A 25,159-nucleotide genomic window follows, 5' to 3' on the forward strand; every position below is an offset into this window, starting at 1 on the left:
ACTGTGGCCAGCCAGCCATTACATTTTTAATAAAGTTTTTTAAACAGGTTCCTCTTGTCTCAGTTGAGTTCATTGCAGAGTTGTATAATAATGAAAGAATAGAAATTTTTTCATCAATAGAGGTATGGATGCATGCATCACATCATGCATCCATACAGAGAGATAGTAAGGTGAATGAAATAGACCTATAGACTGACAATATATAGAAAAAACATCAAGGCACAGGTGTATTTTATACATATGTATAACCCCCTACCAAAGACCCCGGGACCTCACTGTGTTGCCCCAGCTGGTCTTGGTCTATTTTGTATATCTTTTTTATATATTTATTTACACACACACACACACACCCTCTATCATTTGTAAAAGAAGGATAAAACTATAGAACAGACCTATATGTAAATGTTTGATGCCAGAAAATGTCATGGTATCTGCTCATCACACTATTATTAGTGGTTTCATCTGAGGAGTGGAAATACAGCATGAAAGATGTTATGATTTCTTTCAACTGACTTCCATTTTATATTCTATTTTGTTTGACTTTTTTGTGATATTTCTTCTGTAATAAAACAACGGTAATTTAAGGACTTTTAAAGAAGAATCGACTTTGACTTATTCTTTTTTTAGCTTTGTGAATCATAATATTACTTTGCTTTTTTTCATTTTCCTTTTAAACTCTAGCCATGCTTACTCATTCTCAGTGGGTTTCTCCAATCATAATCCTGTTTAATCATAACCCCAGGAGTCATCCTTGGTTCTCTAGGAAGCATTCCTGCATCACTTGGTCTGATTTTATTACCTTTCCTCTGTGTTCCCATGGCAAAGCTTCCTTAGTCTCTGGTGTATAGAACAGAAGCTGTATTATTTGACTTTGTATTTCATGGACCTGAGTACAGTACCCAGCACATGGTAGAAATTCATCAAAAGGGTTTTGAGTATTAAAATAATAAAGATAGAATTTGGAACAGATCTCCTTAATACTAGCATGTTCTTTTTGTGTAGCTTGTCGTTTTATGCCATTTTTTTTCCTGAAGCTCTGTGTGAGAAGACATGTGTTAATTAAACTTAAGTTTCTGTCTCAGGATATGTTGAGTATATGTTGATAGGCTATCCTAAAACAACTCCAGGCAGTTTATTTAAATGCAATATGATATCTTCAGTTATCATTGGAGGACAGGAGAGTGATAATTTCATACTTCATTGAAACACAAAATATTAATATAGGATATTTTTTATAGTGTCTCCAAATACATTAAAGGAAACCTGCATTGATGTGCTTAGAAAATGTGTAACATTGACTCAAGCATAAGGATAAACACAAATTTTGTTTCTTCGTGTAAATTACTTGTGTAATCGTTTTTTTTTTTTTCCAGGTTCAGCAGATAGATCGTGTGGTAGAAGTTGTGGAGGAGACAATTAAAGGTAATCGTTGAAAGTGAGATAAACAGATGTATATATTTTCTGAACTACATAGTAGAAACACCACTCAGGTAACTCTTGCCAGGCACCTTTATAAAAGTTATTGTTTTAGATATAAAATCATAAAATGTTATCCTTGGCTTCATGAATTTGCCAGTCTAATATTGGAGGCAGGCACTCGCTGTATATTTGTTTGGCTTATAAATGAATCAGGCAAAGAGCAATGGCTTACTCCTGTAACCCCAGCAGTTGGGGCTGGGGCTGAGGCTGAGGCTGAGGCTGGAGGATTCCTGAGGCCAGGAGTTCAAGACCAGCCTGGGCAAGATCCTGGGATCTCTGGGGGAGAAAGTCAGCTTGATGCTGTGGTGTGCACCTGTAGTCCCAGCTACTTAGGAAGTTGAAGCTGGAGGATCATTTGGGTCCAGGAGTTCAAGTCTGCAGTAAGCTATAATCATGTAACTGCACTCCAGCCTGAGCAACACAGTGACACCCTGTCTTTAAAGAATAAATGAATCAGGTCATAGTTTTCTTTTTTAAATATTATTTTATTTTTGTGTAAAATGAATTTAGTTTGAATTTCAGATTGAAAGAATTTAATCAATTTTAAGATAAAGAAATTTTCTGGGCACAGTGGTTCATGCCTGTAATCCCAGCACTTTGGGAGACTGAGGTAGTTGGATTGCTTGAGCCCAGGAGTTCGAGACCAGCTTGGGCAACATGGCGAAACCTCATCTCTACAAAAAATAGAAAAATTAGCTGGGTGTGGTGGGGTGCTCATGTAGACCCATCTACTCAGGAGGCTGAGGTGGGAGGATTGCTTGAGGCTGGGAGGTTGAGGCTGCAGTGAACAGTGATTGCACCATTGCACTCCAGCCCAGTTGACAGAGCGAGACCCTATCTCAAAATAAATAAATAAATAATAAGGAATTTTTTATTTGTACATTTTGTTATCACATAATTAGGTTGTTTTGTAAGTACTTTTAACAGTAATAATTTTGATGCTTGTTCAAGGTGTATTTTTTATAGTTACACTAAAAATTACACAAAGAAAGTAGAATTAAGCTTTGCTTATTTTGTTAGCCAACACTCACTGACATAGATTCTTATTGAAGTCACTGTGAAATAAACCATCTTCAACTCTGTGGTATAATTTTAAATTTTTAAAGGCTTTTTCCTATGTTTGATTAGCACAAATGAAAACCAATAATATGATACTGAAATATTAAGTGAATTGAAAGTCTCACTTAAGTACTGTTTTGTTGTAAATGAGAAACTTATATTTTTTAAAAAACCATATAGTCTCCACGTGCCAAACTGGAAATTTTAATGCTGCACTTTTCCTTCTGGGTGGTGTCTACTACTTTCCACATGCTTCTATTCATTAATTTTGAATCATTGCCTTATCAGAGATTATTACAGAATCAATTTCTAATAAATGAGATTATGAGAATATGAGAATGAGACTATACCTTAATCTTTTTTTATTATTTTTTAATTTTTAAAAATTATTTATTTTATAAATAGAGATGAGATTTTGCCATGTTGCCCAGGCTGGTCTCGAACTCCTGGGGTCAAACGATCCACCCACCTTGGCCTCCAAAAGTGCTGGAATTACAGGCATGAGCTGCCATGCTTGGCCCTTAATCTTCTTTTGATGTTCCAAAATAAAGTGAAATATCAGGATTAAAAATTTATAGCAATGATAATTTGAATGTTTTTACAAACTACTTCAACTCCGTCCTGGAGAATCCAGAAGTGCTAGCATTTATTGTGTACCTACAGTGTGACAGCCACTATGTTAAACACTTCACATGGGTTAAGTCATTTAACCTTCATAATAGTACTGTGAAGTGAAGTGGGCATAAATATTTTCCTAATTTTGCAGAGGACCAAGTTGAGACACAGGTGCATACAGCTAGTAAGTGACAGCATTGGGATTTGAATCCAGGCAGTCTGGCTCCAAAGCCTGTACATTATACTGTGATTTATACGATACTGTTATTTCTTTGCTCTCTCACAGTTGAGATTCACTACCTTAAATGTTATTTGATTGAGTGTCTTAAGCAGTGATTTAAGATACTTGAGGGCATTGTTGCCTTATTCATCCTTTGTCTTAAGTACCAGGTATATACTGGCCACTCAATAATTTTTTAAAAAAATTAATGATGATGAAGAATATAGGAGAAAATCTAGGTGATCTTGATGTGGCGTGATTGTTTAGATACGACATCAAAAGTATGATTTATGAAAGAAATAATTGCCAAGTTGGATGTCATTAAGTTGAAAATTTTTTGCTCTATAAAAGACACTGTCAAGAGGATGGGAAAATAAGCCACAGAGTGGGAGAAAATATTTGCAAAATACACATATGATAAAGGGCTATTATCCAAAATATATGAAGACCTCTTAAAACTCAATAATAAGAAAAGGAACAACCCAGTTAAAAAATGGGCAAAAGACCTGAACAGACAATTTACTAAAGAAGATATGCAAATGTCAAATTAGCATATAAAAAGGTGTTTGACATCGTATGTCTGTCATTAGTGAATTACCAATTAAAGCAGCAATGCAATATAGTGGTATGTTAAAACTATACACCTGGTACAATGGTCAAAATCCAAAACATTGACAACACCAAATTCTGGCAAGGATATGGAGCAACAGGAACTCTCATTTATTGCTGGTGGTAATGCAAAATGGTACAGGTACTTTGAAAGACAGTTTGGCAATTTCTTAAAACTAAACACAGTCTTACATCATCCAGCAGGTGTGCTACTTGATATTTATCCAAATGAGTTGAAAACTTACGTCTATACAAAAACCTGTTCAGTGTTTATAGTAGCTTTATTTGTAATTACTAAAACTTAGAAGCAAAAAAATGGCCCTTTAGTAAGTAAATAGATAAAGAAACTGTGGTACATGCAGACAATGGAGTATTATTTGACACTAAAAGAAATGAGCTAAAAAACCATGAAATGACATAGAGGGACTTTAAATGCATACTATGATGTGAAAGACATCAATCTGTAAGGCTACATACTCTATGAGTCCAACTAATTGGACATTGTGGAAAAGGTGAAATACGGAAGGAGTAAACGGATCAGTTGGTGTCAGTGATTAGAGAGTAGGGAGGGATGTGTAGGCAGAAAACAGAAGATATTTATGACAGTAATTCTATTCTGTATGATGCTGTAATGGTGGACAATTGTCATTATATATTTGTTTAAATCCTTAGAATGAACAACACCAAGCGTGAACCCTAATGTAAACTGTGGACTCTTGATGAAAATGATGTGTCAGTGTAGGTTCATTGATTGTAACAAACGTACCACTCTGTTGTAGGATATTGATAGTTGGAGAGGCTGTGTGTGAAGTGGGGGCAGTGATATATAGAAACTGTACTTCTGCTGAGTTTTTCTTTGAATCTAAAACTACTCTAAAAAATAAAATCTATTTTAGGAAATTAATGGTAATTAACAGTGTGCTTAGGAGTTTGCCAAATGGCCTGGAGAGATAAAATTTCTATGGGAAATCATACAAGACCTGTTACTCCCAGGCTGAGTTAATCATGGATAGCTCCTTACTGATGAGCGTGGACTTGAGTGGATTTACTGGAGAGATTGTGTGTGCATTTGGCTATGAAAGTGAGTCGAAGATGAAGTTGAAGGGGATATTCATTGGCAGGTTTGGTTAGAGGATGGGAAGTTTGATAATTAAGCCTTCATAATGCAACAGGAGAATTTTTCAGATGGAAGGAATAATTTTGATAGCTTTCCTTAGTTTGCAGATCAGGAAGCTGAGCTGTGAAGGAGTTACATGATGTTTTTGAGATCTCTTAGTTAATAGAGAACTGTGCCTATCAGTCAACTTCTGTTCTTCGCTTTCTATGTCTACTGCCAGTACTTCATTCAGACAGCATATGTCACTGAAATAATGTGGTTGTTACAGCAGTTAGCCAGTTGTTGGTTGTCTTTCAGCAAGTTATTTTTCTGAGGCTTAGTTTTCTCAGCTTAAAATGGTCAGGATTAAATGGATAAGACTTTTGAGGTACACAGAACATATTAAGGCATTAGTTCATGTTAATGCTTACCTCTTACTTCCTCCTTAATATAAGAACTGCTGGAATAATCTAACTGATCTTTGCCATCAGTGACTCTCCTTTCAATCTGACTGCATATCCTGCTATCATTAACCTGGGATTATTTTACTTTCCTGTATGTATACTCTCACTGGTGCCTCTTACCCACCAAGTTAATTTGGGACTTTCTACCATTTTCACTTCTTTTGTCCATGCATGCTGTACATTATACCCTTTGCTCCAGCCAACTGTGCTGCTTGATGTTTCTTATATATTTTTTCACTGTGCTTTACATTTACTTGATGGTCCTCCACAGAAGTGGATATCTTCTGTTTGTCCTTCCACATCTATTCTCCATCTTGATCTGTGTCCTTGGAGGCTGACCTGTATGGATTGAATCAGTAAGATTCTTGCCATCTTATGTCCAGTTGGATTTAGCCAATTGGAGGATGTGACAAGAGAGCAAGCTAAGAGTATCCATTCCCGTCTCTCCTTCCCTCCCTGCCTATTTTGGGTTGGTTGCTTTCCTTACCCTAAGGTCACAGCTCTTGTCTGGTGACCCTCCCTGTTTATCTTTCTCCAGGTTTCTGCAGCTCTTCTCTTCCTTGCCTCTGGGATGGAAACAGCACCCCGTTGTTGCTAGCCTCAGAGTACCGCATTGTCTGTTGATTTTCCTAACCCTGCCCAGATTTTAGTAAATCGTTCCTTTATGAAAATCTTCTTAGTTATGCAGTGAGCCATCTGCTTTGCTGGTACCCTGATTGATAAGAAGTTAGCTGTGGAGAAGCAAGGCTCTGCCCAGAAGGGCCAGATGGAATACCGCCTGACAAGAGGATTTTGCTATAACCCTCTTGTTTCCACATTTGATCCCTGTTGGGCTCTCTTCATATCTCATCTTTGAAGGGGCTTTAGACATACAGCCTCTGTCACAGCCTGTTTGCATTCTTCTTATTGCTGCTTATGTTACACCAAGTAGTATTTTAAAAACTGTACTAATAAGGTACATTGATACTAAAAGCATTTAACTCTATTGTAATTAACATAAAACCATAAAAGCTTGTTTTCATTTATCTGTCTTGATTGTATCAAAATGGCAAATTCTTGATAAGTTATTCTGAAATGGATCTTCATCATGTTAATAGCAACAAGAAAACTCCATTCATTTGTGGTTTTGGCTTCAGGATATATGAAATTATAATGAATTTAGGATTTTTTTCCTGTATCACTTTGATAATTTTATAAGGTGTGGAACTGAATGTAAGGAAAGAAATACAGCGTCTAGTGGATTCACATTCATTTCCGTCTTTTAAAAATATTCATACGCACCTTAGTCTTGGCTCATATGGTCATTAAAAACTTTTTTTTGTATGAAAACTATGAAAGGAATATAAATCTGCATTTCTTCCAAAAAAAGTATGTGAAATCTTCTAAACAAAATATCATTAAAAATAATCTTATCTTTGTGGAAAGATAGTCTAATTGGATATCTTATGACAAGTTATTGCAAATAAATTTTACCTATCGACATTAGAAAAATGTTTTTACCATTACGTCATGTTTCTTTACCAATCAACCTCTGTTGAGATCCCTATTGTAATTAATATGTTTGCTGGTATTTCTTTCAGTTAGATTCCAAATGCCTCAAGTGGCGGTAATTTAGGGTTTTCCCAACGTGGTATATAATTTGCAAGTTTCACCGATTTTCTGTTTTTTCCTAACTTCTCAGTAATTGGTGCCATCTTGCACTAGACTGACCTAAATTCCCAGAGTACGTCACCAAGCAGCTTTCTTATTTAAGACATTGCTACTAATCTTCACTCTGTAAGGTTTTGTATTTTGCATGTGGTACTTATTTAGAGCATAAACTGTTCATAGGTTGAGACTGGGAAGCAGTACTGTATCAAGTGTGGTTTGATCAGTGTGAGTGACTGAATAACCACCTTACAGAGCTCAATGCAGACTTACTTGAGGATGTTTTCCAAACTCAATGAGTAAGTGATTGAGCTTAGATATGTAGCATGGTATATCTGGGAGGGTATTGGACCACAAAAGCACATCTGCTTTTTCAATAGTTGCATTTCAATAAAATAATTTTTATTGATTTTTAATATGTGCTTTGAAAGAACACTTGTATGCATCCTCTCATTATATGTAATCTCTGATACAGTTAGTATAGTCTGAATGTAGTGGGAAAAAGTTTGTGGATTGCCTTACATGTTAGGAATACTTTCCAGTCTCATCGGTGTAAGTAAATACATGATAACTTCTACCTTCTAGTGAGTAAAGGAGCCAGGGATTTATTACTTTATTTAGTTTTTTTCAATGAGCCTGTTTGTTTTAAGTTTATGAGTATAGTAAAGTTAACTTTACTATTTGATTACAGTTTGGTAACTTGCATTTCCCATTGCAAAGGTAATGGTTACATTCTTTTTTTTTTTTTTTTTTTTTTTTTTTTTGAGACGGAGTCTCGCTCTGTCGCCCAGGCTGGAGTGCAGTGGCGGGATCTCGGCTCACTGCAAGCTCCGCCTCCCGGGTTCACGCCATTCTCCTGCCTCAGCCTCCCAAGTAGCTGGGACTACAGGCGCCCGCCACTACGCCCGGCTAATTTTTTGTATTTTTAGTAGAGACGGGGTTTCACCGTTTTAGCCGGGATGGTCTCGATCTCCTGACCTCGTGATCCGCCCGCCTCGGCCTCCCAAAGTGCTGGGATTACAGGCGTGAGCCACCGCGCCCGGCCGGTTACATTCTTAAATGCACTCAGTTTATCTGTTTTGCTATCCTCTTTTCTTTATATCTCCTTTAGTTTCCCCACGTTAACAATAGGATTGCAGCTTTACTTATTTGTATTCTGTACATCTACATACATTATTTCTAGGATGAACTCCTTGTTATTCATTCTCTCTCTCTTAGATAGCATTTTTCAAACCATAACATTTTCTTAAAAATAAGAGTAGGCTAATTTCTTTATGGCCCCAAACAAAAACATTGTATGATAAGACTTTTAGTTGATTTTTTTACATCACTTCATTCTATACCTTGGTTTGGAATAATACCAGAAAGGACTTTGTAAGAGAAGCCAGCATGTGTTGTCTTGTCTGTATTTCTGTAACTTTATAACTGTATTGGCCAAATTATCAGTCCTGTTTTTAGCTACACACATACAGAGCAGCAGCAGTGTTTATCCACTACAAAATATGTAATAGATGCTCTAGAAAAAGTCTTCTTTAAACATTGTAAGTGGTCAAGTTCACTGGGTTTTTTTAAATGAAGATAGTAAGTAACTTTACATTTATCAAGTATTTTTAGCCATTAAGGCTTTTAGAACACAAATGAATGCCTAAATGAATCCCCCAAGTGGATTCTGCTGCTTTATGGTGGCTTCAGAATGGCAGAATGGTCTTACATGCTTTTTGTTCATCTTAAATTTAATTATACAGCTTTAGTGTATTTATCGCTTATATTTCCTTTTCTGATCAAAGATACATTTTTTTTAATTATTTGAAACCACCTTTCATCATTAATGGAGTTTATTTATATGAGGACTTGGGTATTTCTCTAACTTTTGATTTCTTAATTCTGGGGTTTTGGTGGGGTGAGCTGGTGCATAGTGTTGAATAGTTCAAGTTGATAATCATATTGTAGTTTTCACATAATACACTGTTATAGTGGTTTACTAGATTTGATTGCCGTAAGCAAGGAAAGGAAATTACTTTAGGCTTGAACCTCACAGGCTTCCCATGACCCAGCCCTTCTGCTAGTAGTCCCACTGACCTGTCCAGTATGGTATCCCCATCTTTCTTTGTTTAACTATTAACGAGGACTTGCCTACTCTTAATTACACTTACACATTAACTCTTGTGAATCCTGGTAGTGTTTTGGCAGATTTCATGAAGGTGAGACTACAAGTATTGTCAAATCTCTAAAAATGTATTATCATTTAGACTTTTGTGAAACTGTTAACATGAGCAAATATATGTTTGAACATCCTTGCTTTTACATGTGTATTTTAATCATTTTTATTTCTGGTACTTAATATTTTCAGATATGGCAACTTCTGATTCCCAGGGTTCTCGTTTCTCAACCATATTAATTTTTCTTAATAAATAAATAAAGCATCAATCCCAGAAAGAATTTGTATTATACCTAAATGTTATAGTATTTACTACAGTAGGAATTATTTAGTGAAAAAGAAAAATACCAAGTAGATCAATTAATCATTTTGAGGCTTCCATACAAAATGTTCACTTAATGTATGTATTTTAAGAGTTTTAATATGCTTTAAAAGAAAATACAAAAATAACATTTTTTTCATGTTATATTCTTCCTTTATTATAACCAACTTTTAAGAGAATTGGCAGTTGCTACACTGCTTTTATACACTGCATATGTATCATGTGCTTTATTACGTGACTGGAGAGATTTTATTCTTCATTAGAGAATGCACTATTTTTGGTTAGTAAAATATATTGAGAATAGATGAGACTGTAAAGTTAGAGAAAAAAATAGATACTAGCAGCTTCACTGCATTTTTCAAATGCAGGGTAAAGTTGTAGGTTAATTGTGGTATTTTCTGTTTTGCTTTGATTATTCTCAGCACAATAGTAAATTGTATTGTATTGGTAATTCTTCTTTAGTACTTTATAGCTGATTTCCCTAAAATTAAAAATATAAAATAGAAACCAGGTCATGTTAGAAATACAGTATCTAAAGCTTTGATAGGACATAGAAATTATCATCTTCAATTTTTTTTTAAAAAAACAAAGATTTTATTGTTATGGAAATAATTTATTATGTCACAGTCAAGTGAAAACTGGCACCACAAAGTAATTTGATGGCTCAGATGTAGGTAGAAAAGAAATTTAAATCTGACTTTCTCTTTTTCTTGAAAAATTGTATTTGATAATTGGAATAATTAATTAGGTGTAGGATAAACTTTTCTTTAGTGATGTTATGGATCTTTTCTTAGAAAACCTAATATTGATAATAATTGGTACAGGATTATTACAATAATGTTTAATCGATTTGAACATTTATTTCTAATATTTGGTGATTGGCACATTTTTTCTTTTAGAAGTTCATTCTGTAACACATTATGAAGTATACAGCAGAGATGTAGCAATTACTTTGGAGATGGAGAGACTAAATACCAATTTCACTTATTAATTTGAGGGAGAGAAAACTCACTTGGAGACTTCAGTTAGGATATCAACTCTGGATATCCTCTGGATATCTGGATATTTTAAAGAAGTTTATCTCAGTACTACCATTTTATAACTAAGTATGCACTGTATTGAGTAATAAAGAAATAGGAATTAAAATGTCCTTATAAAGGATGCTTTCTAACATTAAATCTTTATTGTAATTCTGAAAATTAAAGTGCACCATTTCTTGAAGCTGCACTGAAAAGTCAGCGCTGTGTTGGGTGCTGTTGGGTGCTGCTGTGACAGGTGAGAGTCCTTGATTGAGACTATGAAGAGCTGTGTGCAAATGCTTGTTTGTACTACTAACAATGCTATCTTTAACAGCCCATACAACCTCACTGGTTCTCAGTTTCCTGAGTTGCAAATTGTATCACATGGAAGGTCACTTCCACTCTGAAATTCTTGAAGTGCATGCGTCTGTAATATAAAATTGAGTTTCAGAGTCTGTCATTAGAATAGTTTTTGGCATTTTAGATAGTGATCTCTAGCAGAAGTTAATAGAATGTGACTAGCCTTTATCTCGCACCCCGATTTCTATATGCCAGATTTTACTTTTTCTTTCCTTGTGCCCTCCTTCTTACAAAATGAAGCTGAAGATGTTTGTGGCAGAGGTACCATGCATTTTTGTTTGGTGTACCTCTATATTTTTTAGTGAAGAGGGTCTTGAGTAATGCCCAGTTCTTGGACTCTTTTGCCCTTCCTCCATTCAGTTGTAATGCAGTTCTGGGCAGTGACAGGGAGCGTGCTTCCCAGTGTTGCTCAGAAACACTGTGCCTCTTTGAAGGAGCTTTCATTTCCACCCGGGAGCATGTTTATTTTCAGGACTTTGAGAGAGGTAGTTTTAGTCTTGGTAACTTGGTTTGCCGAGAGAAAAAGTGATTTGAGGGGATTTAATGTAGGTAACATTACCTAGAGCAGTGATTCTCAAGAATGTTTGCTGGGAGAGGGATGGTGGCTGAGAGGACCCATGACCTGAGAGGGGAGATGGCAGACTGCTCAATCCAGACTATTGGGAAACTGGGAGCTGGGGAGTTGGCCCTGCAGCCACTCACCTGGATTCATTGCCATGGTAAGCCCCTGTTCTAGACAGGTAAGGATCATATCACTCAGGCGTCCTGAGGTGGAAAAACAGCCTTGGCTCTCTGACATGGTCCCTGAACACACGTGCTTATACTCACCCAGGACCATGTACGGTTCCAGGTTCATTACCTATGCCTTTTTCCCGTAACTCACACCCGGGAAAGTACATCACAATGCAAATGAGTGACTTCACAGGGGTGACCTTTAATCTACTTTAATTTGTATATTTAAGATGTCATTCACAAACTTGTGATCATCTTTTTTTTTTTTTTTTTTCAAGACAGAGTCTTGCTCCGTCGCCCAGGCTGGAGTGCAGTGGTGCGATCTTGGCTCACTGCAGCCTCCACCTCCCAGGTTCAAGCGATTCTTGTGCCTCAGCCTCCCAAGTAGCTGGGATTACAGACATGCACCACTATGCTTGGCTTATTTTTGTATTTTTAGTAGAGAAGGAGTTTCACCATGTTGGCTAGGCTGGTCTCGAACTCCTTGCCTCATGTGATCTCCCCCGCCTTGTCCCAAAGTGCTAGGATTACAGGTGTGAGCCACCACACCGGCCTTGATCATCATTATCAATGCAATTATTTGTGACGTACTTCCTAGCCCTCCAGAGCTTTTAAAAGAAATGGAATCTGACTTTAACTTCTAGTGTTTGAAAGTTTTAAAAAGTCCCTTGCCATCTTGCTTTTGAGAAACGTCATTAGCGCTGTATGTTTTGATAGGAGTACAGTTGTTTAATTATGGTAGTAACTGTAATTAACTTCTGTCTAGCTCTTTGTGGCTTACCATTTTCATATACATTAATTCATTTCTACTCCACAGGAAGCCTGGCATTACTGATTATGCAGCCAAGCAGCAGTGTACTATAATTTGAAACCTAGTCCCCTTGTTCCACATACCCTCCTTTCTATTCTGTGAAGCTGTTAATATTGAACAGACGGAAATGAGAAAGTGAGGCCCATTTATTATTTTCTTTTCTGATACCTGTTGTTTAAGATCACTGCTCACTTTTTTTCCATGTTCCCTTTAGATCTTCTCTTATATATTTTGTTCCTTCATGTGTCTTGTTTCCTCTTTAATCTTTTTAAACTTTTTTTTCTCTTTTATTTGCTGTTTTATTTTGTGCCAACATAAAACATTCTTTTGTAAGGAGTTAATAAAGATACGCTTAATTTTTTATAGAAAATTCTGAGTATACTGTTTGAGTCATACCATGCTATAAAGGTGCTTAAATTGGGAAATGAGTGAGTGAACGTATTCCCTAACTATAAGCAACTGTTAAAAAAGCCAGCCAAAAAAAAAGCAAATGAAAGATTCTATAGAGAAAATTCTTGTGTATGTGTTGTAAGAATAAGTGTTGAAAGTTTTAATGTAAAACACACTTTGTATATAGAGTTTTTACTGTCAAATGGTTAGGTCAAAAAAATCCTGCGATGTTTTTTAAGGATATGTCTTAAATCTTGTATTCTCAATCCTAGTTATGTATTTAGGCCACATGAGTTTTGCAGCTGTAACCAGAAGTATTTTAATATTCATAACTTTCAATCTTTAACAGACCATGCCCAACACTGTCATTTTTAAAAATTAAATTTTAAGACGATGTTTGATTAGTCTTTTGACTAGAACTAAGAATCTCAAGCCCACATAATTTCTACTTCATACATTATTTTTAGGAGCATTTTCATTTTTGAAGGCGTGGTCTTTCACCATGGGGCCCCTTCCTGCCAAGTCTTAATAAATCTTTTAAGTGAAATCCAGTTAAAGTGATAGGCTTTTAACTAGCTTGGTTTTAAGAAGTGGAAAATCAGTCAAAAGCAGGAAATCTAGGAAAAGGTACTGTGAAATAGATATAATCATGTATATAATTTGTATCCTGCTTGCTCTGCCTCCCAGACTTCAGTGTCACCTCTCCCTGAAGCCTTTCCTGATTTTCCCTGGGAGAGTTGACCACTCCCTTGTGGTGTCTCTCTGTACTTAGAAACATCTGCCAGATCATCTCTGACACATCCTTCCACTTATTTGTTCAACAGTCTGCCTTCCTCGAGACCTTAAGTCCCTTTAAGGCAGAAGTCAAAGTAGTGGCTCAAGATAGAGAAGGTTTTAAATATTAAAAAGTAATCTTTCATACATGCTTCATTTTCTAAGCTCATCTATGGTATTATGGAACTTTTGTTTCAGTTATGCATGTACATTAATACAGTGACTTACAATATAAAATGTACATCCTCTTTGTTTTAACTACATTTTTAAACTTATTTCACTCTTGCCATTTCTATAGAAAGGCAGTGATAACACTTATCTCAACGGGTTGAGGACTAAGAGAGTGAATTTGAAGCAAAGTGAGCTCCAGGGGCCTCCTCTCATTTAGATGTATTTATGCTGCCTACAGTACAAGATTATTCAGTTCTTGATTGGAAGTGAAATGAAGGTCAGCAAGGTCAGAGAGGCATTTTTTAAGATACATAGATGGGAAAATTCCCCAGCCTTTACTGCTTCCCATCTCTTCTGTCACACTTTATGGTGGCTTGAGTTGAATTAGCGCGAGGAGACTTGACATGTTCATTTGTGATTGAAAGTGAGTGCAACATAGTTTGGATGTTTGTCTCTTCTAAATCTCATTTTGAAATGTGATCCTCGCTGTTGGAAGTGGGGCCTGGTGGGAGGTATTTGGGTCATGGGGGCGGTTCCCTCATGAATGGCTTGGTGCTGTACTGGCCCATAGGGAATTCTCATGTGAGTTGGTTGTTTAAAAGTGTGTGTTATCTGTCCCCTTCGTGTCTTTTCTTGTTCCTACTCTCCCCGTGTGACAGGTGGGCACCCCCTTTGCCTTCTGCCGTGACTGGAGGCTTCCTGAGGCCTTACTAGAAGCTGAGCAGATGCTGTTACCATACTTCCCGTACAGCCTGCAGAACCGTGAGCCAATTAAACCTCTTTTCTTTATAAATTACGCAGCCTCAGGTATTCCTTTATAGCAGTGCATAAAATGGCCTATATTCAGTGGGACTCTGAGCTTCAATTTTAAAAGTTAACTGTGGCTTACAAGTTCCTTATGTCTTGTACATTTTATTGTTCTCATTTTCCAGCAGCTTGAGTGCTGTCTTTTGTAAGGTCTGCTTTGCTTTCAACACTGGCTACAGTATCTTTGGGAATACAGGTTTGAGCATGAGAAATCGTTATGTTCTGTATTGTTGCTGTGGTTGCTTTACATACAGAAACAGAAGTGCTCATAGCTTTATTGCTGTAAATATCAAGGGCTTGGAGCCATTTGATAAATTTAGAATTCAGGAGAGTCTGTTGTAGCAAGACAGCTAATGACCTGAAGAGTTCTACTAAGGGTCAATACTAATGTTGAGTTATTGACATGGGACTGCTTTGACTTTTAACTGTTCTGATGTACATTTGATTTGGATTCTGAAAAGATAAATTGACACCACATAAGTCTACTCCCACTGTCATAAAAGACATATCTGCTTGCAAAAGATATAGTAATTAAAACATAAAATTAAATACTTACTGTAATTTGCCCCAGAAGGTATCTCCATTAGACTAAAAGGACATTTTGCTTATGCAGATTACTTTGTTATATGTATCCTTTGTTTAATGTAACTTAATTATTAGTTATACCATTGATAATGTCCAAATGGAAGAAAAAAATTGCCTAAGAACATTCCATTCCAATGAATGTTTTCATCTTTCCATGTTCTCTTCCATAATTCTTGTCCACACATAAATTTTACATTATTAAGATTATAGAGTAGGTACTTTTTTGTACAGCAGGAGTTTTGATATTAAACAATTCTCAGATTTCTAGGGATTTAAACTGTGTACTGTGATCTTACCTTCGCCTCCTCCCCAGTCCACCAGGTAAGGTGTTGGAACCTTCATGCTTTGTTAAACTCTGGAAATGCACCTTGGTAACATCAGTACCTTAGTGGGCTCTCTACTTATACTCTGATTTATACTTTGAGTTCTGTCTTTTTGGACAGTCTCTTCTTATTCTTTTCTCATTTTAATATCTTTTTCTAGGTGTCATTGCTGTCATTAACAAACTCTTCATACTTGCTGAAAAAGGAAATTATTTAATGTCAGTAACAAACAATTAGAGCTTGAGTTGTAAAGATTCTGTGTTTTTTAGTTAATTCTACCATTTTGTGTAAAGTTTTCCAATCTAGACTTGTGACAAAGCTGCTTCTTCCATTTAACCCAGTTTCTGTGTTTTATATTCTTTTCTTCTTTTAAGATGAAATATTTCAAAGGAGTGTCACACTTTAGTGTGAATACCTACCTTTTTTTCTTCTAAGAAGTACCTGTATATGAGGAATGATATTGAATGGAGTAGAGACAAACTTTGACTACACTTTTGTTGTTCTTTGTAATTGAGTAGTTAAAATGCCTGTTAAGGACACTTAAAGTGGTAACTATGGACATTTTGTAGAAAAACAGATTAAATTGGGCACTTTTGTATAATATTCTTAAATAAAATTCAAATTGATGTGATCAAATTTAAGTGAGAATTGATATGTACGGTACATTTATTTACTTATTTATTTTTTATTTTTATTTTTTTTTGAGGTGGAGTCTCGCTCTGTAGCCCAGGCTGGAGTGCAGTGGCGCGATCTCGGCTCACTGCAAGCTCCACCTTCTGGGTTCACGCCATTCTCCTGCCTCAGCCTCCCGAGTAGCTGGGACTACAGGTGCCTGCCACCACGCCCAGCTAATTTTTTTATTTTTAGTAGAGATGGGGTTTCACCGTGTTAGCCAGGATGGTCTTGATCTTCTGACCTCATGATCTGCCCGCCTCGGCCTCCCAAAGTGCTGGGATTACAGGCTTGAGCTGCTGCACCTGGCCCATTTATTCATTTTTTAAAAAACTTTTTTTGCTTGAATTTTCTGCCACCCTTCTGCCCTCTGCCCTCTGCCCCCATCATCGTGTTGGATTGCTTCACTAGGAATATTTCCAGCAGGCTGACCCAGAGCTAGGGTTCAGACAAGTCTTTTCAGTGTGTACTTAATAAAACCAAATTTGTGCAAGGTGAGACCAGTCATCAAGAGATAAAAAATAAAACCAACAAGCCTTGGCATGAGTCCTCTCTGGTGGTAGTGGAGGTGGATGGTCACATATTAAGAAAACAGTGAATGGCCTTTAAAATTAGATGGAGTGAATGAAGTATTGAAGAAAAGTTGGGCTGTTTATAGAGCCTTTAGAAAAAAGTAAAGGGAAAAAATAAACAATAGGAGTCCAAGTTGCCAGATCATTGGTATTTCTGTAATATGAATGATACTCTAAAGCTCGTATGTGCAACCCACTTTAGAACGTGAGAACCAAACAGAGAAGATTGGTTTGTGTGTAGGAGCGTAATTTAGTTAATAGATATATTTTGTAGCTAGTTATGTTTCTATCACTCAATTAATATATGTCTTTATGTTCGGGGAGGTGGTTCTTTTCTATTTGTGAGTGACCTTTATGATTGGCTTCCTGATATGCTGACAGGCCAGGCTTTCTAGTATACATGGGTGGGATGTTTTCCCTCGGTTCTAACACCATCCAATGCAAGTAGCACCATGAGATTTAGAAAACATTTTTGTTCCTGAAGATCGATAGACAGCATTGAACATTGATTCAACTAGTGTAGCAATTACTGTACAAATAATATACAGTGCCTTGGTTTCTCTTCTCATAAGCATTTCAGTATTATGAATTCAGAAATGTGCACACAGCAGTGAATTGTATCAAAAGCTAGCTTTCTGGTTCAAATTTTTACAATGTATAATAATTTTAGTTGGTAAAATCGTTTAGTAACATTCTTTAATGGATTAGATCAAATGTAAAAACCAGCATGGAATCAGGTTTTGTAGCTGATTTATAAATAACTGCTGAAAACCTCAGGGCTTAAAATTGAATTTGGTTTTAACAGGGTTGAATTGTATCTGACACTTGTACGTAACAACTCAGAGAGATGTTTATTAAAGCGGGTTAATAAACCCACTGAGACATATTTGACCATTATTTAGAGGAGGTGAAATGTGAATTTACATTAAAAATGGAAAAGATAAAAGATCTCAGAAATATAACATTTTTGAGTATGTCTCATTCTACATATATGCCAGTCTTCCTTTCTCATCTTTTTATTAAAGTTGCATATCTATTTTAGTCACTTTACATATTTATCACCATCTCCTCGGTGGCCTCATGTCATTATCAGTTGATCTTGTCACACTGAGCATCATCTCCCCATCTGTTCCTATTAATATTTCCTCCTTTAATTTCTTATTACATGGGATTGAAATGATATAAAAACTCACTCCCTTTTTCTTTTCTATATTGTTTTGCTTTCTTTCTTTTCTCTTTCCCTTCACTCAAGCCAAAAGGCTGATTCACAGTAGTCACAAAACAAACCAGTGCTCAGTGAGCAGCCATTCTTTTTCCATCACAGTGCTAGGCCTCAGTGGCTAACGAGAAAGGATCAAATAAAGAAGGAATGTGTGAATGTGCAATTATGGTCTTTGTCTCATGGTCCTTTCATAAGTATAGCATGTTCATTTTCAGGACAAATTTGCTCCAAAAATTTGCCTTTTACCTTTCACATCTCAACTCCTTCAGCATGTTTCTCTGGTCCTGAGTCCTTGTCCTCTCTCCTTTTCTTTCCAAAGACTTGCTTCCTTTAAGACATCTCTTTCAGTTTTATTATTTATTCTGGTAAGTTTTAGTTTGTTTTAGATGGCAGCAGTATTGATAACTGCACATAAAATAGGTAGTAAATAGTATTTATATTTACTATATGGTTTATGGATTTAAGGAATTAATTTGAAACAGCAGTTTTGCTTGAAAGAGGATTTCTAAATGAAAGGGTATATAACAAATAAAAGTTTTGTTCTGCTACTCCATTTTTAAACAAATAATTGTTTTATTGTTGAAATTCCCTCCTTTCATCTTTGGCCAGATATAACAAGTGACTGTTACGTTATTTCCTACTTTGTCTTTAGTGTGCAATAGTTTTCAATTAAAAAAAAAAACAGACTATTGTTAGGTCTGCTGCTCTTTAATGAATCATTGGATTGGAAAATAACTCATTATACCATCAGGCAGAGATACTTTCCTTTATTTGCATGTAGATAGTGAAGGTGAATAATTTATCAAATGTTATTAGTGCAGGCTGCATATTACTGGAGTCGCAGCAGGATATAATGAAATTTGTCTCATGCAAGTATGAAAATAGCATGCCTTTGCATAGTCATTATTGAATTCTTGGCATCTCTTGAAGAACTATTATGTTAGCATGCCAGTCTTGCTCACCTCTTCATTAACTGGGCTTTTGATTGGAGAGTTTAACTTATCTTGAAAATCTGTGGAATCCAACATGCCAAATGCTTGCTTGACTTTAGCATGTTTCCATATCAGAGCATACATTTTCAGAACGAATAAAGTACTAAATGTTTCTTATTAAAGTGAGTAGTGCAAAGAGGCTATGACTGATGGTGTTATTACTTTTGGTTGTGAAAAGTTGTACCGGAGATATTTAAGCAATAAAGCTTTCTGAAATGACAGGCGATGAAACATGTATATAACTACTTAGAATCTTAGAGCTGTACGAATTATGTATTTGAAGTTATTTTAATGATTGCTTTTTAAAAGTTGCATTTAATATGCTTCTGTCGTGATGGCATGAGGAGGTCAACAAACCTTCTCAAAAGCAATGCTAAAGCTGCACAAGCAGTCAAAAGCAAATCATGTCAGTACTCTGGAAATCAACTAAAAGCATTCAACAAACTGAAAAGTGTTTATTCATGAAAAAACTGAACTTTGGATAAAAACAGTGTAAGTCTGTGGTATTAATGCTGGGGCTGCTCCATTTTCCCTCCTCTATTCGGTGAGTAAGGTTGCAACTAGGGCAAAACAGGCCATGAAAGCCAGCAGCTTCTTTGCTGCTCCCAAGACAGCTCAGTGGATTTGGAGAACTGTCAGGTTCAGTGGAGATTTTGATGGCAAGCAGTAGGGAAGGTCTGCGGCTCTACTGGACTGAAGTTACTGACATGTTTGGTGCAAGCAATGGACAGACGGACTAGCCAGGGTTTTAGCAGGGAATTCTGGGAGCTGAGCTAGCGCTATGAGGCTTGTGAAACTCTCCACATACCTTCAGTTAACCAGAAGTTGTTTCTTCTGCACATGCAGCAGAAACTGGAATGGGCTTTGTAAGAAATACTGAAAGTTTGTCAGGCAGAAAAGAAGAGGCACTGAATGATAACTTGGATTCCAAGGAGCAGTGAAAAATGCTAGAAATGGTATTTATATGAGTAAACATATTTTTCACATTTTCATTATTAAAAAACAACATAGGCCAGGTGCAGTGACTCATACTTTTAATTCTAGTATTTTGGGAGGCCAAGGTGGGAGTATCACCTAATCCCAGGAGTTTGAGACCAGCTTGGGCAACATGGCAAGACCTCATCTCTATAAAAAAAATTTAAAAAGTAACTGGACGTGGTGGCGCACACCTATAGTCTCAGCTCCTCAGGAGGCTGAGATGGAAGGATTGCTTGAGCCCAGGAAGTCGAGGCTGCAGTGAGCCGTGATTGTGCCACTGCACTCCGGCCTGGGCGACAGAGTGAGACCCTGTCTCATAGAAAACAAAACGGAAAAAAACATACAATTACGTAAAAAACAATAATTATAGCACCATATTTTTAGCTTTACATGAGTCTCCCCTTAACCATGAGAGATACATTCCAAGATCCCCAGTGGATGCCTGCAACTATGGAGAGTACCAAACCCTGTATGTACCATGTTTTTTCCCATACATACATCCATACCTATGATAAGTTTTCATTCATAAACTAGGCACAGTAAGAGATTGACAACATTAGTGAGAAAATAGAATAATTATTACAATACACTGTAATAAAAGTTATGTGAATGTGGAGTGTCTCTCCCTGTCACAAAATACCTTATTATACTGTACTGTGGGTAACTGAATCTGTGGAAAGCAAAACCACAGATAAGTGGTGCTACTGTATATAACTGTATATGTTAATATGTGTGCCAATAGCACAAAAGAGGAAGAAGGAAAATAAATAGCATCAGGACAGTTGAATATTCATATTAAAAAAAGAGCTTAGGCCTTCACTGTACATAAAAATAAAGTGAATTCTAGACATAAATATAAGAACAGAAACAATAAAACATGTGGAAGAAAACACAGGAGAAATCTCTGTGCCCTTAATATAGCTAAAGAGTTCTTAGATGTGACACCAAAAGCATGAGCCATAAAAGAAAAAACTGGATAAATTGAACTTCATTAAATTGAAAAAACATTTACTTTTCAAGGCACACCATTGTGAAAGTGAAAATATAAGCCACAGACTGAGAGAAAATATTTATAAATCATATATCTGATAAAGGTCTTATAACCATAATATGTAAATAATTCTTACAACTCAGTAAGACAAATACTCTAATTAAAATACTGGGAAAATACTGGAGTAGACATTTATATTAGTTGGGACCAATGGGTGTATGTATGGAAAGAGACGTAGTGTAAGGAATTGGCACATGCAACCATGGAGGCTGAGAAGTCCCAAGATCTGCGTTCAGCAAGCTGGAAACCTCAGAGAGCTGATGTGTATGTAGTTCCAGTCTGAGTTCAAAGGCCTAAGAAACAGGAGAGCCAATGGTGTTAAGTTACAGTCCACAGGCTGGCACACTTGAGACCCAAGAAGAGCCAATATTTCAGTGTGAATCTGAAAGCCGAAATGGACCTATGTTCTGGCTCGTACAGACAGTCAGGAGGAGCTCACTTTTAGCCTTTTTTTTTAAATTGAGACTTTTATTTAATTGGACGAGGCTCATCCATACTGGGAAAACAATTTGCTTCACCCAGTGTACCAATTCAAATGTTATCTCATCTAGAAACACCCTCACAGAGACGTTCAGAATAATATCAAAATATCCGTGTACCTTGTGGCGCAGTCAAGTTGACATATAAAATTAATCGTCATAACATTCTACTGAATAAGAAATACATTTGGCTGATAATCACATGAGAAGGTACTCAACATCATTCCTCACTATGGAAATGAGTATTCAAACCACAGTCATATACCACTACACACCCATTAGAATGGCTGTTATCATAAGAAGCCGTAGTACTAAGTATTGGCAAGGATATGAAGAAACTCAAAACCTCATACATTGCTGATGGGAACATTAAATGGTATGACTGCTTTCGTAAGCAGTTGTTTCTTAAAATGTTAAACATAAATTTACCACATGATCCACCAGTTCTACTCCTAGGAATATATCCAAGGGAAATAAAACATATGTCCATACAAAAACTTGTATGTGAATGTTCACAGAAGCATTTTTATGGTAGCTGTTAATTGGAAGCAATTCAAATGTCAATCAGCTGGTCAATGGATTGACAAAATTCCCTATATTTGGTATGTGAATAGAGATAGACTCTGATAAGCTCAATTTTAGAACACTTACATCACCCCCCAAATTCTTATTTTGGGGTGATGTTCCATTCAGTTGTTTCATTCAGTTTTAGAACATTGACATCCTGTGTTCTAAAATTGAGTTATTGTGATGATTATAAAACTTTTTTTCTTTGAGACGGAGTCTCGCTGTGTCACCCAGGTTGTAGCGCAGTGGCGTGATCTTGGCTCACTGCAACCTCTGCTGCCCAGGTTCAAGTGATTCTCTTGTCTCACTCTCTCGAGTAGTTGGGTTTACAGGTGCACACCACCACACCCAGCTAATTTTTGTATTTTTAGTAGAGATGAGGTTTCACCATGCTGGTTGGGCTGGTCTGCCTGCCTTGGCCTCCCAAAGTGCTGGGATTACAGGTGTGAGCAACCATGCCTGGCCAAAACTTTATAAATGTATTTAAAATCATTGACTCTTACTCTCATAGTGTGTGAATTTTATAGGCTATGGGATATACCTCAGTAAAGTTATAAAAACAATAGGTCTAGGCTGTGTGCGGTGGCTCATGCCTGTAATCCCAGCACTTTGGGAGGCTGAGACAGGAGGACTGCTTGAGCCCAGGAGTTTGAAATCAGCCTAGGCAATATAGTGAGACCCTGTCTCTTAAAAAACCTAACCTTAAAAAAAAAAAAAAAAAAAAAGACAAAATGCAATATGTCCATATAGAAAGAAAAAATGACAAAGTAAATATGGTAAAATAATAATTGAATCTGAAGGGTATGGGATTTTTTTGTATTGTATTCTTCCACTTTTTCTACAAGTGTGAAATTATATCAAAATTAAAAAATTACAAATGTTTTAATGGCTCTTAATAGTGATCTGATTTCCTTTTGTGATAGTGTGTAAAAATAAGTTTAAAATGTTTGTTTGTTTAAAAAAAATCCAGCCCTAAAGTATAATTTTATCTCAGCTTTTTGTTTATTTACTTGTTTGATTTGTTGTTTGCTTTGAGCAGATACTTGGTTTTGCTTTTTTTTAATTACTCATTTTTTCTGCAATGTAATGGCAGGCAGGCCTAGTGCCCAAGCAAACCCTTCCTGCTGCACATGCATATTTGGCATATGCTAGAGAGTATTTATACCTGTAGAAATGATATTTTGAGGGTATTCTGTTTCTCATCTGTGCAAATATAAGCAAAGCAAGTAGGCCCTGAATACAGCTGTTTTTCTTGTTTTTTTTCATTTCTTTTTCTTTTTTTTTTTTTTTTTTTTTGAGATGGAGTCTCACTCTGTCACCTAGGCTGGAGTGCAGTGGTGCCATCTGGGCTCACTGCAAACTCCGCCTCCCGGGCTCGAGCTATTCTCCTGCCTCAGCCTCCTGAGTAGCTGGGATTACAGGCGCCCGCCACCACACCCGGCTTATTTTTGTACTTTTAATAGAGATGGAGTTTCACCATGTTGATCAGGCTGGTCTCAAACTCCTGACCTCAGGTGATCCACCCACCTTGGCCTCCCAAAGTGCTGGGATTACAGGTGTGAGCCACTGCACCTGGCCACTGTTTTTCCTTTTGACAGTATTTCTGAAGTTTAAATGATCACACTTCACTCTTCTATGTTGTTTCCCCTGCTCCCGAAAAGAAGTTAAATGAACACATTTGTTGAAAGCGTTAAGTTACAGTGAAGTGTGTAACTCTTGCTAATGTATATTTATGTGCTTGATTTGAAGGTCACTCTGTGAGACTGCTGGGTCAGAAAAAGGATAATGGAAGGCGGCTTGGGGGAGCACGATTGGATTTGCCGAAGATTAGGAAGAATCCACTGATAGAAATCATTTCCATCAATACCGGGTAAGCATCTCTCAAACTTGCTCATAAAATATTCAATATATTTCATGAATTCAGTTTTTTTTTCTTGGACATGTGACATAGAAAAGTAGCTGAACATTTTCTTGGGAAAGAAAAATTACAAAATGTGCTCAAATACAGTTTCTTCTGAAATGTTTCCTGTATGTAAACTACACTTATATTTGCAGCAGGCTTTTATAACTTTAATATTATTCCCATTTTTGGTAATAAACATAATAAACATGGATTTCATTTCCCAGCTATGCCCTTACTTAAAATCTTTGAAAAAAGTAGCACTTTATTTTGTTGAATGATTAAGACACTTGTCATATTCGACTGTTTTTTTCAGTAAAGGTATGGTAAATGTTGCCCAAGATACTAACCACGTTTTGATTATTCACTATTTGAAATGCATATTTTAAAATGTTATTATTCTGAGCTTTAAACTTAAAAGAAGCATCATGACAGAATATTAAGTACTCTTTTAATTTCCACACCTTGATTTAAAGTCCTTGATTATAACTCTTGGTATACTCATTTATACTTTGTTTCATATGCATTTATTGAATTTTTGCATTCTTTAAATTATGAGTCCATCAGAAAAAGAAACATTTTCTGAAAATTTGATGAGATGAAGGGCTTCTGTTTCTTAAATCACAGGGAGCACCTAATTACCCGTACAACCACATCTCATTCCCCACAGATTTAAGCTGTTCTGCCCCTTTTACTTCATCCTCCTTCCCTTTTATTTGAAATTGTTTTCCTTCTGTTCTGCTCTTTCTTCATGCTCCTTCTCATTGAGAACCGGTGAACAGCTTCCTTGTCCACCATCTGCCTGTTTCTCTGAATCCAATGGCTTTACTTCCTCCAGGACAGTGGCGGTTGTGTTGTCAGTAGCCCTCTTTTCTGTAGTCTCACCACTTTCTGGTTTATCCTCCACACTGCTGTCAAAGACTAGAGAAGGTTGACCAAAGTCATTCGGTTTTTCCCAAAAAACCCCATGGAGTGGCATTCAGTGACTTGGTGAATTTGTTGTAGACCAGCATCTGGCCTTCAGCGTTGAAGATTCAGAAACCCAAACTTATCAAGCTCAGAAACTAGTAATTAAAGCAGAATTT

At 36.5% G+C, this 25,159-nt stretch overlaps 1 protein-coding gene across 15 annotated transcripts in view; it reads left to right on the forward strand.

Annotated features, from left to right (window-relative positions):
* CDKAL1 (CDKAL1 threonylcarbamoyladenosine tRNA methylthiotransferase) overlaps positions 1-25,159 on the forward strand; it is a 697,948-nt gene that overhangs the window by 222,765 nt on the left and 450,024 nt on the right. For 12 of the 15 annotated variants that reach the window (XM_047418949.1, XM_047418952.1, NM_017774.3 and 9 more), the window contains 2 exons: positions 1,374-1,422; positions 23,924-24,044. In XM_047418949.1, coding sequence (XP_047274905.1) covers positions 1,374-1,422; positions 23,924-24,044 — 170 coding nt within the window. Of the gene's footprint in view, positions 1-1,373; positions 1,423-14,549; positions 14,689-23,923; positions 24,045-25,159 lie in introns of those variants that run through there. The other 3 variants (XM_047418954.1, XM_047418955.1, XM_047418953.1) reach the window with 1 other exon arrangement.

The sequence above is a fragment of the Homo sapiens genome, chromosome 6 (genome assembly GCF_000001405.40).
Source record: "Homo sapiens chromosome 6, GRCh38.p14 Primary Assembly".
Classification (NCBI taxonomy): domain Eukaryota; kingdom Metazoa; phylum Chordata; class Mammalia; order Primates; family Hominidae; genus Homo; species Homo sapiens.